At 41.3% G+C, this 12,751-nt stretch overlaps 1 protein-coding gene and 1 pseudogene across 3 annotated transcripts in view; both read right to left on the minus strand.

Moving 5' to 3' along the window:
* Nucleotides 1-12,751, minus strand: part of SKOR2 (SKI family transcriptional corepressor 2) — a 45,492-nt gene that overhangs the window by 17,904 nt on the left and 14,837 nt on the right. For 2 of the 3 annotated variants that reach the window (NM_001278063.4, XM_047437757.1), the window contains 2 exons: nt 6,863-6,928; nt 6,387-6,485 (listed from right to left, as the gene is read on the minus strand). In NM_001278063.4, coding sequence (NP_001264992.1) covers nt 6,387-6,485; nt 6,863-6,928 — 165 coding nt within the window. Of the gene's footprint in view, nt 1-6,386; nt 6,486-6,862; nt 6,929-7,050; nt 7,093-12,751 lie in introns of those variants that run through there. The other variant, NM_001037802.3, reaches the window with a different exon arrangement.
* RNU6-1131P (RNA, U6 small nuclear 1131, pseudogene) lies at nt 10,370-10,476 on the minus strand (annotated as a pseudogene).

Below are 12,751 nucleotides of genomic sequence, written 5' to 3' on the forward strand. Positions count from 1 at the left end.
TTTTTTTGTATTTTTGGTAGAGATGGGGTTTCACCATATTGGCCAGGGTGCTCTCAAACTCCTGACCTCAAGTGATCCACCTGCCTTGGCCTCCCAAAGTACTGGGACTACAGGATGAGCCACCACGCCCGACCATATTTTTTCTATGTTCTAAAGGTTGATGAAGACAGAGTTTAATTGGAGATGGAAAAAATCATTAAGCCAACTTCTGTAATGAGAATCACTTATAACCCAACTATTTTTGGAAAATGATAATACGAAAGGAAGTAGCAAAGAAGAGCACTGAAGTGCAGCATGTCAGCCAACACAACAGCAAGGCTGCACACTGCAAACTCAGACAGCTGGAAAAGCCAAAGGGTTTTCCAAACAGCAATAAAAAGTATCTAGCCTACATTCCTAGAACCATAAGTAAGAAGACAAACCCATAGGGTACATCTGGTTCACATCTGGTTCACCTGGAATGTTCTAAGCAAGCAGTGGGCTTTGGGGTTCAATTTGTTTACAAATGTCTTCATTTTGTTATCTCTATTTTTAAAGAACCATTGAACTTTTTTTTTTTTGAGACAGGGTCTTGCTCTGTCACCCAGGCTTGAGTGCACTGGTGTGACCAGAGCTCACTGCAGCCTTGACCTCCTGGGTTCAAGTGATCCTCCCATCTCTGCCTCCTTAGTAGCTGGGACTACCTGTGCATGCCACCACACTTGGCTAATTTGTGTGTATGTGTTTGTGTAGAGACAGGGTCCCAGTATGTTGCCCAGGCTGATCTCAAACTTCTGGGCTCAAGCAATCCTCCTGCCTCGACTTCCCAAAGTGCTGAGATTACAGACCTGAGCCACTGTGCCCAGCCAAAACTTAAAAAAAAATTTTTTTCATAGCCATCTTCTACTGAAAGGAGTTTAATCTGTACAGTATTTTGGAATCTGCCCTGCCACCCCGACCCTGCACTTCATCTCCCAGAGTATGCTACAAAAAGAAAGAAGAAGGAAGGAAGGAAGGGAACCACTGAACATAAAATGAATTCAATAATGGCCACAGATGAAAGATGCAGACAACCATATTCAGGGAGATGAGATGTAGTTTGTTTTTAATAACAAGGACTCTTAACAGTAATTTGGAAGAGCAATTTTTTATAAGAATCTAAAATGATGACATTTTAGATGAAATCTAACATTTTTCATAAAGCCCCATTCATTAGTGCTTTCCTGTAATAACCAACTGGCCTTTCCACTCAGTTCTTGTAAGTGCCATGAATTTGTCACTAGATCTGCAAATCTAAGGATTCAACTCATGAGCCCTGGATACTCACCTTTATACAAGTCTTCAGTGATCCAATTCCATCCTCCATTGTCAGTTTTAATCTCTTTGGGTATAACCCCAATGTTCCTATCAATCATTTATTGAGAGTATGCTACATACCCACAATATGCCAGGTGCTGCAGGTGGCAACAGAAGAACATTCTGGGTAGCTCTTCCCTGAATCTATTTACAATGTGGGTTGGGGGAGTGGAGAGTAACACGAGTGAAACAGAGGAGGAGTCAACACAGAAAACTCATGGTACTAGAAATGAACACAACAGGACTTCAGAAAATCGTGCCTACTGCAAGAGTGGAAAGGCTTCTTGGATGTGGCAAAACTTTAGCTGTGCTCCAGATAAGAAGGAGGACTTGGATGAGGGGAGGCGCTCTGGACTAGAGGAACACGGTGTGCAGAGGTGGAGGGAGAGGGGTGAGAGTGGTCTGCCAGGTAACTGGAGCTGAGCCGGGGGAGAAGCAGAAATAAGGGTGGAGAGGTTGGGGGAGGGGCACACAATTATGACAGGTTTTGAGAGTCAGTTAACTTAGATATACCATGATACACAGTGCAAATCGTTCTAGCTTCTTGAGGTGAAGATTTTGTGCCAAATCTAGAGTTTTAGGAAGACAGGGCTAAGAGCAGCAGGCAGAAAGGGCTGGAGTGGAGAAGGGAGGTGAGGATGCAGGCCACCCTGCTGGTGACGGCCTTCTCCATTCATTGCCACCTTTAGCAGGTCCCAGGTTTGGGGCTAGGCTCTGAGGTTTTAAGATGGCTAATGGGAAGAAATAAAAATGAATAAAAACTACAGCAAAACGATGAATGCTGTAATAAAGGAAGGCATAGGGTGCTGGAGGAAAAGAGAGGAAGAAGAGATACAATTGCTGGGGAAGGTGTACATAATGCAGTGGCAAACATAACTTCTGGATTTACAGCTGCAAAAATGATCAGACCAGTGTGAGTGAGGGAGTTTGGAATGGTGGAATTGGGAGTTACCTTTAATAATTTAACCTGTCCAACTGAACATGATTTTCATTGCAAAACATGTTTGACCAGCCATCCTATTGTCATCTCAAAGTAACCTTGATAATGGTGGGGCCCCTCCTAATCCATTTCCCCAAACACCTACTCCCACTCAATTCCAGCTTCTCCTTTTTCCTTAGTATATCCTCCCTACCTCTCTGTTGTGTCCTACCCGGTTCGTTGATTAAACTTATTGTTTAGTATTAAAACAAGTTTCACTCCCTGTTCCTCCCTCTATAGTGACAGCTCAATAAACCTTTACAAGTTCTGGTTTCTTACATTAGCTGGTTTACTATACAGTCACTACAAGAATGTCAGCATCAAACTTTAAAACAGTATATAGTAGCAACAACTCACATTTAATAGTAATTACTATTCATTTGTCACTATGCTAAGCACTTCATGCCTTTCACTCATTTAATCCTCTCCACAACCCCAAGAGGTAGGTAGTAGTATTGTTATAGTGTTGAAAAGAGATCAGGGAATTTTCCTAAGGTTACTCAGCCAGTGAGTAGAGCAGTCAGCATCCACACCTGGAACCCTCTCTATGACCTGCCATACTTCTCTGCCTCTGCTGTAATGGCAAATGCCTGCCTTGCCTTGCTTTCTCCTCCCCAGATTTCCCCATCAGGGCTATGCATAAGTATCAGTGGAGAGCAGCTCTGGAAGCCTCTGTTCCAGCAAGCGCAGAGACTTGCTTGTTTCTCTTCCTCCTCCCAACTGCTGCTCCCCAAATGTGGAGACTTGTTTCTTCTCCTCCATCTTCCTCCTTCTTCCTCCTTTCCTGCCTCTTCCTCCTCCTTCTCCTTTTTCCCTCTACCCTTCCTCCTCCTCCTCCTCCACCTGCCCCTCCTCTCTGTTATCTTTATTTGTACCCTCTCCATTCTTACGACCATTCCTGTGGTCCTCATTAACCCTTGGAACCACGACAAGAAGCCAATTTTTTTTTTTTTTTTTTTTTTTTTTTTGGAGACGGAGTCTCCCTGTGTTGTCCAGGCTGGAGGGCAGTGGCGTGATCTCGGCTCACTGCAACCTCTGCCTCCCGGGTTCAAGTGATTCTCCTGCTTCAGCCTCCTGAGTAGCTGGGATTCATACCACCACACCAGCTAATTTTTTATATTTCTGGTACAGACGAGGTTTCACCATGTTGGCCAGGCTGGTCTCAAACTCCTGACCTCAAGTGATCTGCCTGGCTCAGCCTCCCAAAGTGCTAGGATTACAGGCGTAAGCCACTGTGCCTGGCCAGAAGCCAAAAATTTGGACCCAAGTTTAGAAATGCTTTTCTAGAGCTCAGTGCTGTTCCTCTCCTTTTCTTCTTTCTGCTTCATAATCACCATCATAATTGTACTTATCCTGTGCCCAGCATGTGCACAGCACTTCACATAGGTCTCTCATTCAGTCCTCTCATTCTTCTAAGCGACAGGAATTATTTGCCCCATTTTACAGTTTCCAAGGTCATACAACCAGCAAGTAGCAGAGCCTGAAAGTGAACTCAGGTCTGGTCGATTTTTGAGCCTAGATTCTTAATTCTCACATGCTACAGCTCCTAGCCTAGGTCCACAGTGCTCTAAGTGAACTGGATTTTAAGTGTGGTGACTGTGAGCATCTGTTCACCTCCTAGTAAAAAGCTTTGCAAAACTCTCACGAGAATTCCTCTATGCTTCTTTCCGATGAGGCTTTGCAAATCTTGGTTTTCCCCTTTTCATCTGAGTGAATCTAAATCTGTCCCCTAGCCTCACGGCCCCTCACATTTAGTTAACAAGCACATAATGTGCATTTGCTATTTTCATCCGTGTGAAATTGACTGCCTCTTTGTGGTGTATCTAAACCACGCATTATTTAAACTTGGGCACACACATGCCACTTCCTTGGTCAGTGGAGTATGTTGCAGATGAAAAAGAGGAAAATTTTTTTTGTTACTGTTTAATTGAAGTGTTTCATACATGTGGCAATCACAGAGGATACATATTAGTGCACATCAAAATGATGAATGAGAGGTCTGAATTGAAACTGGCCAGTACTGTAACATTCTAACATTTTGTTTAACGGAAACATGTACTACAGAGCAGTTACTATGAAAAATATAAATTATTATGGATTACTTAATTCCTTAGAATGAATATGAATTGGCTTTTATTAATGGGATGAATTATGACTACAGAGGTTTCATAGGGAGTTAGAAGGGCATGTTAGGGATTCAATGGGACTTGGACCCACTCTGCTAGATCTAAAAGCAGGGACTTGCAAACTCAACAATTAGATAAACATCAGCTATTGGGAAAACGTATTCAATGCCTCTCATTGGGGGCAAGGAACTGTGCAGTCTTTCTTAAGATACAGTTTCAAAAGTTAGAGAATCCTAGATCCTTTCAAAGCACCTGTTTCTTATGGTTTCAAAGATATTTTAAATGTTTCTCCTTTTCTCAAAGCTATAAGTATCACAATATTCCTAATTATGCTATCAAAAGCTATTGGCCATTCTCCTTCTTTCAGTCTCATTCTAAAGCCCTGCAGGCATTCTCTGAATTCAAAATAACTGAAGTACCATGAGCTCCAGCCTCCTTTGGAGTATGCAGAGAGGACACACTTTGCAGACCCTCCCATTCCTTGTGGTCAGAGTTCTCTTCCATCATGCAGTTACCTCTACATTTTGAATCCTCACTAAATGTTCTGGTCAAATTTAGTTTGACATGTTACCAGGAACCTGGTGCTATTCAAAAATGCTACCTAAGTGTGTCATTCAGTTGTGCCAGTGATTACATTTAGGAAGCCCTAATGAATGAAGACCTTCAGGCTGACATTATTGAAATTATCATAATTATTTAAAAATCTTCCAGATGCTGATACAGGAATCATCTGGCACAGGAATTGCCAACTTGAGTTTTGTGATTTCTGGATTAATAACAAGAAGCATGCTGACATTCTAAAAAAGTGCCCTGGAAAAAATTAATTTTAAATATATATAATTAGAAAAATAAGTTTGCAGGCCAGGCACAGTGGCTCATGCCTGTAATCCCAGCACTTTGGGAGGCCGAGGTGGGCGGATCACCTGAGGTCAGGAGTTCGAGACCTGCCTGACCAATATGGTGAAACTCTGCCTCTACTAAAAATGCAAAAATTAGCCAGGTGTAGTGGTGTGTGCCTGTAGTACCAGCTACTCCGGAGGCTGAGACAGGAGAATTGCTTGAACCCAGGTGGCAGAGGTTGCAGTGAGCTGAGATTGTGCCACTGCACTCCAGCCTGGGTGACAGAGCAAGACTCCATCTCAAAAAGAAAAAAAAAATAAGTTTGCATACTATTTTCCCACTTTCCTTTCTCTGGAGAGGTAATATGACTAAATCAAAGTCCGGAAAGCTTGAAAAACACTACTGGGATGTATTTGTCCAGATGTGACCCAGACCAGGGCAGGTGAATTTTAAAAATCTGGACACCTACCATAAAGTTTTAGGAAATTCCAAGACTCTGGGAGTAGAACTAACAGTTTTTAGGCTACAATATCTCCTGCCTCTAAATTCAGAATGGAATTTTAACATTAAATATGGATGGGAAATCTAAAACTACTAAAATTATAACAATTTCATTTAATAAAATAGATTGTGTATACTGAGCCTTTAAAGTTTAGATTTTCATATTTATACATATCTCAAGCATCAGGAAGCTATCAGGAACAATCTGAGAATGAAAGTTAACTTTTTCTTGTTTTCCCTACTTTAGAGAATGTAAATACAAAGTAGTTCTTTTGTTTTAAAATCTATAATCGAACTATATCTAAATATTTAAATATATTTACATATTTAATTATATATTTACACACATTTTAAAATACGTACAACATGCACATACAGATACACATATATCCATACACAAATACCAAAAGGTTCTTGGAAGAAATTTTATCTGTGAGTCAATTCAAAGCCTAAATAAAACTAAAATTTATGAATATTTAGGCAGACCATGGGAAGACTGTGTGTGTTTTGCACAATCGCTTAATACTTAGAATCACATTCTTAAGCCTAATAATAGAAACGTAATCAATTATCATAAATACAATGAAATAAAAGTGATTTCTTACTGAATACTGGGAAAGATGTGTTTCCTTTTAACACCTGGAATTCTTGTTCCAGTCGTCTCCGTAAATCTATTTGTTCAAATAAAACCTTCTGAAGTTCTTCTAATAAAAAAAAGAAGAGTCATTTTACTAATCTTTACAAATAACTCTCCAGAGAACTGTTATATATGGCAATTTATTATTATAAGACAAAATATTTTACCAGTTTAAAAAGTGTTGCATAGACATAGGATAGATTTTGTGCAGAAATCCATGAATATAAATCAATGTAATATATTATTTTAAAGTATTATATTACAGTGTCATGTATTGATTGATATGTATGCATTAATCTCAATTATATCCACCCAATGGTCCATATATTATTCATATGTTGCTTGTCAAGCTAAAAATATGGTGGAGAACAAAAATATCCTCCTATTATCTCCACAGTCGTTTAAAGCTAAGAGAAGTTCTACAGAATTGAAACTTTCATTTACCTTTCCCCATATTTTCTACATCCTTTTTCAGTGAATGAGGTGAGTTGGTTTCTTGTGTATGTTCACCTTTTAAAAAAGCAGGAAAAATACTATTAGTTTTGTGTAGGCTAGTTCTGTAAGTTTTCCTTTACATTTTCTTTTAATATCTGCAAAACAGTTTATTTAATATAACCTGAAATTGGAAGTCCTCATAACCAAATGTTGTCCTCATTTATTCGCATATAATCCTCCTGAAACACGGAGGGGAGGTGCAGAAAAGGAGGGCAGAGCCTGCCTGGCCTGTGATGGCAGCTCCCGAAAAGCAGATTCTTGAAGTTATTCCCTCTCCAACCCCCTACCGCCATCCATCTTTACAAGGAAGGAAATTGCTAGAATGGGCAAAAGAGGAGTCTGGATAGTCAAGATTTCTGGTAGAAATCTGATTGGAGTCCCACTGCTCCTTGAAGGGAGGAAGCTTGGTTTGAATGGAAAGGTTCTCAAGACTAGAGGCAGGTGCCCAGCCTTCTCGGGCCATCAAAATTTGGGACACTGAAAAAGAAATGTGAGGAGGCTTTGAGTTGTAAATGATAAGCCTGGAGGGGTTCCCTAATAATTGATAGTTTGTTTTTTTTTAAAAAAAACAACTTGGGCCGGGCGCGGTGGCTCACGCCTATAATCCCAGCACTTTGGGATGCCGAGGCGGGCAGATCACTTGACGTCAGGAGTTCAAGACCAGCCTGACCAACATGGAGAAACCCCGTCTCTATGAAAAATACAAAATTAGCTGGGCGTGGTGGTGCATGCCTGTAATCCTAGCTACTCGAGAGGCTGAGGCAGAAGAATCACTTGAACCCGGGAGGCGGAGGTTGCGGTGAGCTGAGATCACACCTTTGCACTCCAGCCTGGGCAACAAGAGCGAAACTCCATCTCAAAAAAAAAAAAAAAATCAACTTAAAGCTAGGTGTGGTGACTCACATCTGTAATTGGGAGGCTGAGGCGGGAGGATTGCTTGAGGCCAGGAGTTCGAGACCAACCTGGGTAACATGGCAAAACCTTGTCCCTACAAAAATAGAAAAATTAGCTGAATGTGGTGATGTGCACCTGTAGTTCCAGCAACTTGGAGGCTAAGGTGGGAGGATCACTTGAGCCCAGGAGATTGAGGCTGTAGTGAGCTGTGATTGCACTACTGCACTCCAGCCTGGGTGACCCTGTCTCAAAAAAACAAATAAATAAATAAAATAAAAAGTAAAAAAAAATTAAAAATCAACTTAAAACAGAGACAAAATAAGTTAACTTATATTAGTTTGTAAACAGTGACTTGCTTGCTGATATCTCTTAACTGCTCTTCCTCGACCAAAGAAAACTATATTGCGCATAAAGGTTAGATCGTTATTCCTATTTCGCTTACATGCTGACTAGGATGGCAAGTTAAGAAAATGTCTTTATCCACAGTCATGAATTGAGTCTACAAATCTGGTCTAAATAAACCAGAATCCAATCATTCAGGCAATCAGAATTTTTAAAAAATTCAACCCCCTATCCTCAATGCTCACATAATTTAATCAAGCTTTTCATTTCTGTCTGAAGAGGTGTGGTAGAACAAACAAAGGGGCTCTGAGGCCTCATGGATCCCCCTCCCTTTCACCCCATCCCTCCTCTGTGTCCCCAGAGTTCCCTGCACAGGCCTCAGGCATGGTGCTGTTTCCTTACTCCCCTTCCTCAGTCAGTGGGCCATGTGTTACTTGGCGGCAGAGGTTAGGTATGGCCAGTGCCTAGCACAGCGCTGAACATACAATAAGCACTCAATAAAGGGTCTGCAGTTGTTTCTGAAAAGGACCCCAGGAGGTCGTAAATTCTAAATTACAGTAAGCGGGGGCCAGAATTCATCAAAGATCTCCTTACTATTTATTTCCCTCAGCAAAAACCAAAATGTAATGGCCCTGGGCACTTGTAGAAGTACGGGGAGATTTCTTTGCTGAGGTAAAAATTTCTGCAAAGAGGGAAACAGAATTTCTCCCTGAAGTGCTGACCTATAACAGTATCATGGACAGACAGGGAAATTTTCAACATGATATTATCAATGGCAATTCAAGTGCATTTTACTTGATGACTGTGAGGAGTATGTTTGTGTGTGTTTGTGCATGTGTGTGTGTGTGTAGGTAAATACATCTGTGAAAATATACACAAATATTCCAGGACATATGCATCATTAGAGGAAGGAGCCTAATAATATCCTTGGCATCCCTAAGTTCCTTAATAGCAAGCATCTTCTCTAATATCCAGATCAGATTCCTATAGCCTCATTCTCATTCTCATCTTGGACATGACCTCTCTATAGGCTCAGATGTACTCTTGAACCTTGATACCTTGGCTTTCTTCTCCATATAAAAAGAAAATAGAGAGGAAATATCTGTGAAGCATTTTAAATATAGACCTCAATGCAATTCCTAGAAAAACACTGTTATCTAAAACAAGAGTAACATGAAGGTTGATAACAAATTATTAATGGGTAAACCAAGAAAAATAGTATTTTGAGATGAAGATACATGCATATTATGTGCAGTCTCAGTTAACCAGTTAAAGGTGTAGAAGTTTCAAAAATACTGGCATACAATATTGAATCTGAACAAGAGAAGAAAGAAGCATGCATGTATCTCTGCATTTATCTGCAGGGCATAATGACACTATCATTCTACAACTTTCTCAACCACTCAAAGCATGATTTAAATGAGATCTTTATTCCTGAATAGGCAATTCTAGAAACCATAGTCTTATCAAATTATAGACCAGATTCCTTTTGACTCATTAGTATATTTTGTGGACTGTTTATCTTATATTATGTTTCAGTTAGATAGTTGAATTTAAAAATTAAAATATGATATGTAAAATGCATTTCTTTCCTACTTCATAATTAGTAGCTTTACATTGGTATGAAACCACTAAACAAGCAGCTAGTAAATGGAAACTATATTAAACACAGGCAAATCTACTGATGATGTTAATAAAAAGCTTGTCTTTTCATCAGCTTTGTAGAGGTTTTATTAACAATTTGCATTGGCATCTATTTCAAACAGATATTTTGCTGCATCTTCTGGGTAAAATCTGCCAATTTTGAGCTTAGAGGATTCGAATGCCTCACTTACAAAGGGTTTTTAAAATGGCTAAATGTTAGGTAAATAAAAAGCACAGAAGCTTCCGCTGCCTTTTGTGTATCTTTTACTGGACTGTTGCCTTTCGTATATTACTAATCTGTGAAAACCAGATTGTTAATGGTGGTTAAAAATGACCTCTGGGAGCCTGGATATATTTGTTCACTATTACTGCTAATGGTTTCCATCTGGTTAAAAAAAAAGGCAGTCTAATACTAGATTAAATAAACGTGATTTAGTTGACAGTGAGCTCCCAATTTTTCTAAAAATTCCTTCAGGTTGGCTACATTTTACTTTTTCAGAATTAATGAATGGGTTTGGAAACATCCCTAAAGTGCTTACTTTTTTATCCCCTATATTTCCCTCACCCCTTTTGTTTTTAAATATGGACTGCTTCAGAAATTTGTATGTTATCCTTGCACAGGGGCCATGCTAATCTTCTCTGTATTGTTCCAATTTTAGTATATGTGCTGCCAAAGTGAGCAATGGATTCCTCTTTTGAAAAAGGGGTTGGTGAGCCAGATGTGGTGGCTCATGTGTATAATCCCAGCACTTTGGGAGGCTGAGGCAGGTGGATCACCTAAGGTCAGGAGTTCAAGACCAGCCTGGCCAACATGGTGAAACCCCATCTCTACTAAAAATACAAAAACTAGCTGGGCATGGTGGCAGGCACCTGTAATCCCAGCTACTTGGGAGGCTGAGGTAGGAGAATCGCTTGAACCCAGGAGGCAGAGATTGCAGTAAACCGAGATCACGCCACTGCATTCTAGTCTGGGTGACAGAGCAAAACTCCATCTCAGGGAAAAAAAAAAAGAGAGGGGGTGGGGGGAAGCACAGCAATTCTAACAGTGTAGAGTTGTAGGAGAGAAAATTATACATGGAAGAAGCATATTTCTTGGAAGCCCAGCCTCAAACATATCTAAGACTGTAGAAAAAAACTGGTTTGAAGTTGGAGAGTAACGGGTAACTAGGGCATAAAACGTCTCCTGTGGATGGAAGTGACTAAAAGCTGCTGCTAAAGGCCCAGTGCCATGGCTCACACCTGTAATCCCAGAACTCTGGGAGGCCGAGGGAGAGTGCTTGAACCCAGGAGTTTGATACCAGACTGCGCAACATGGCGAAACTCTGTCTGTACAAAAAAGACAAAAATTAGCTGGGAGTGGTGGTGCACTCTTCTAGTTCCGGCTAATCTGAGTGGGAAGATCACTTGAGCCCTGGAGGTCAAGGCTGAGGTGAGTCATCATTGCACCACTGGCCACTGCACTCCAGCCTGGGTGACAGAGTGAGACCCTGACTTAAATACAAAAAAGAAGAAGAAAAGAAAAAGCTGCTGCTTAGGAAGGTGTCCACACCAGGACTTTCCAAGTGCACATTTGCAGGACATTGTGATCTGCATGGTTTCTGAGAATCCTGCTCATCCAGGAGGGTGGAGGCAGCATCGTGCCATATCAGGGAAACTACATCACTGCTGAGTGCAACTGGAGACCAGAGAGCCTGGAATGTCAGGAGTCGGCTTTCCTGGTCTCTCCAAGGACCTCCAACAGCAGTGGTTCCACATTCTAGGTGAATATTCCAACCCACTCTTGGTTCTGCCCTCACATGTCATTAGAAACTGGAAGTATGAGAAAGATGGGTGAGAGAAGTAACATGCTGAAGCAGATATGAGCAGTAAATAGCAAATGAGGAGGAGATGGACTATATGAACAACACAAACAAGCAAAAAAAAAAAAAAAAAAAAACAGCCAACAGATTCAATAGCACTAGCTTTCAAGGTACTAGAATAATTACTTTCTCTTAAATATCATGGCAAGCCTCTGCTCAAGAACCTGCAATGGCTCCCTATGGTCTCCATCAAAGACTCCATTCTAAAGTTCTCCCCACAAAGTCTCTAGGTTCTCCCATTCTTGTCCAACCTGCTGAGCCATCCTGTCTCCCTTTTTGAGACAAGTTCTCGCTCTGCCACCCAGGCTGGAGCGCACTCACACAATCCAGGCTCACTGCAGCCTCAACCTCCTGGGCTCAGGTAATCCTCTCACCTCAGCCTCCCAGGTAGCTGGGACTACAGGTGCACACCATCATGTCTGGCTAGTTTTTTTCTGTATTTTTTTTGTAGAGACGGGGTTTCACCATGTTGCCCAGGCTGGTCTTGAACCCCTGAGCTCATGTGATCCATCCATCTCGCCCTCGCAAAATGCTGGAATTATACGCCTGAGTCACTGCACCTGGCCCATCCTGTGTTTATTGCCTAACAGGCATTTATTTTTCACATCTGCTGCCTACAACTGCCTTATGTCATTTCTCTGTCCTAAGGTGCCCTCTCCTCTCTTTCTTGTGCAACCAAAATCAGAATGCCATCCAAGTCTTTTCTTGTTAAGGATTGAATGCCTGTGTCCCCCTTATCCCCAAATTAACATATTTAAATCCTAACCCCCAAGGTGGTGGTATTAGAGAAGGGGGTGGGGGGCTTTGGGAGGTGATTAGGCCAGGAGGGCAGACCACTTATGAATGGGATTAATGCCCTTATAAAAGAAACCCCAGGGAGCTCCCTTCCTACTTTTCCACCATGTGAGGACACAGCAAGAAAATGGCCATCTATGAACCAGGAAGAGAGCTCCCTCACCAATCACTGAATCTGCCAGTGCCTTGATCTTGGACTTCCCAGCATCCAGAACTGAGAAAAACAGATATTGTCTAAGCCACCCAGTCGATGGTATTATTTTTTTTTTATAGCAGCCTGGCCAGACTAAGACATTTTTCTTCC

This window comes from Homo sapiens, chromosome 18 (genome assembly GCF_000001405.40).
Source record: "Homo sapiens chromosome 18, GRCh38.p14 Primary Assembly".
Lineage (NCBI taxonomy): Eukaryota > Metazoa > Chordata > Mammalia > Primates > Hominidae > Homo > Homo sapiens.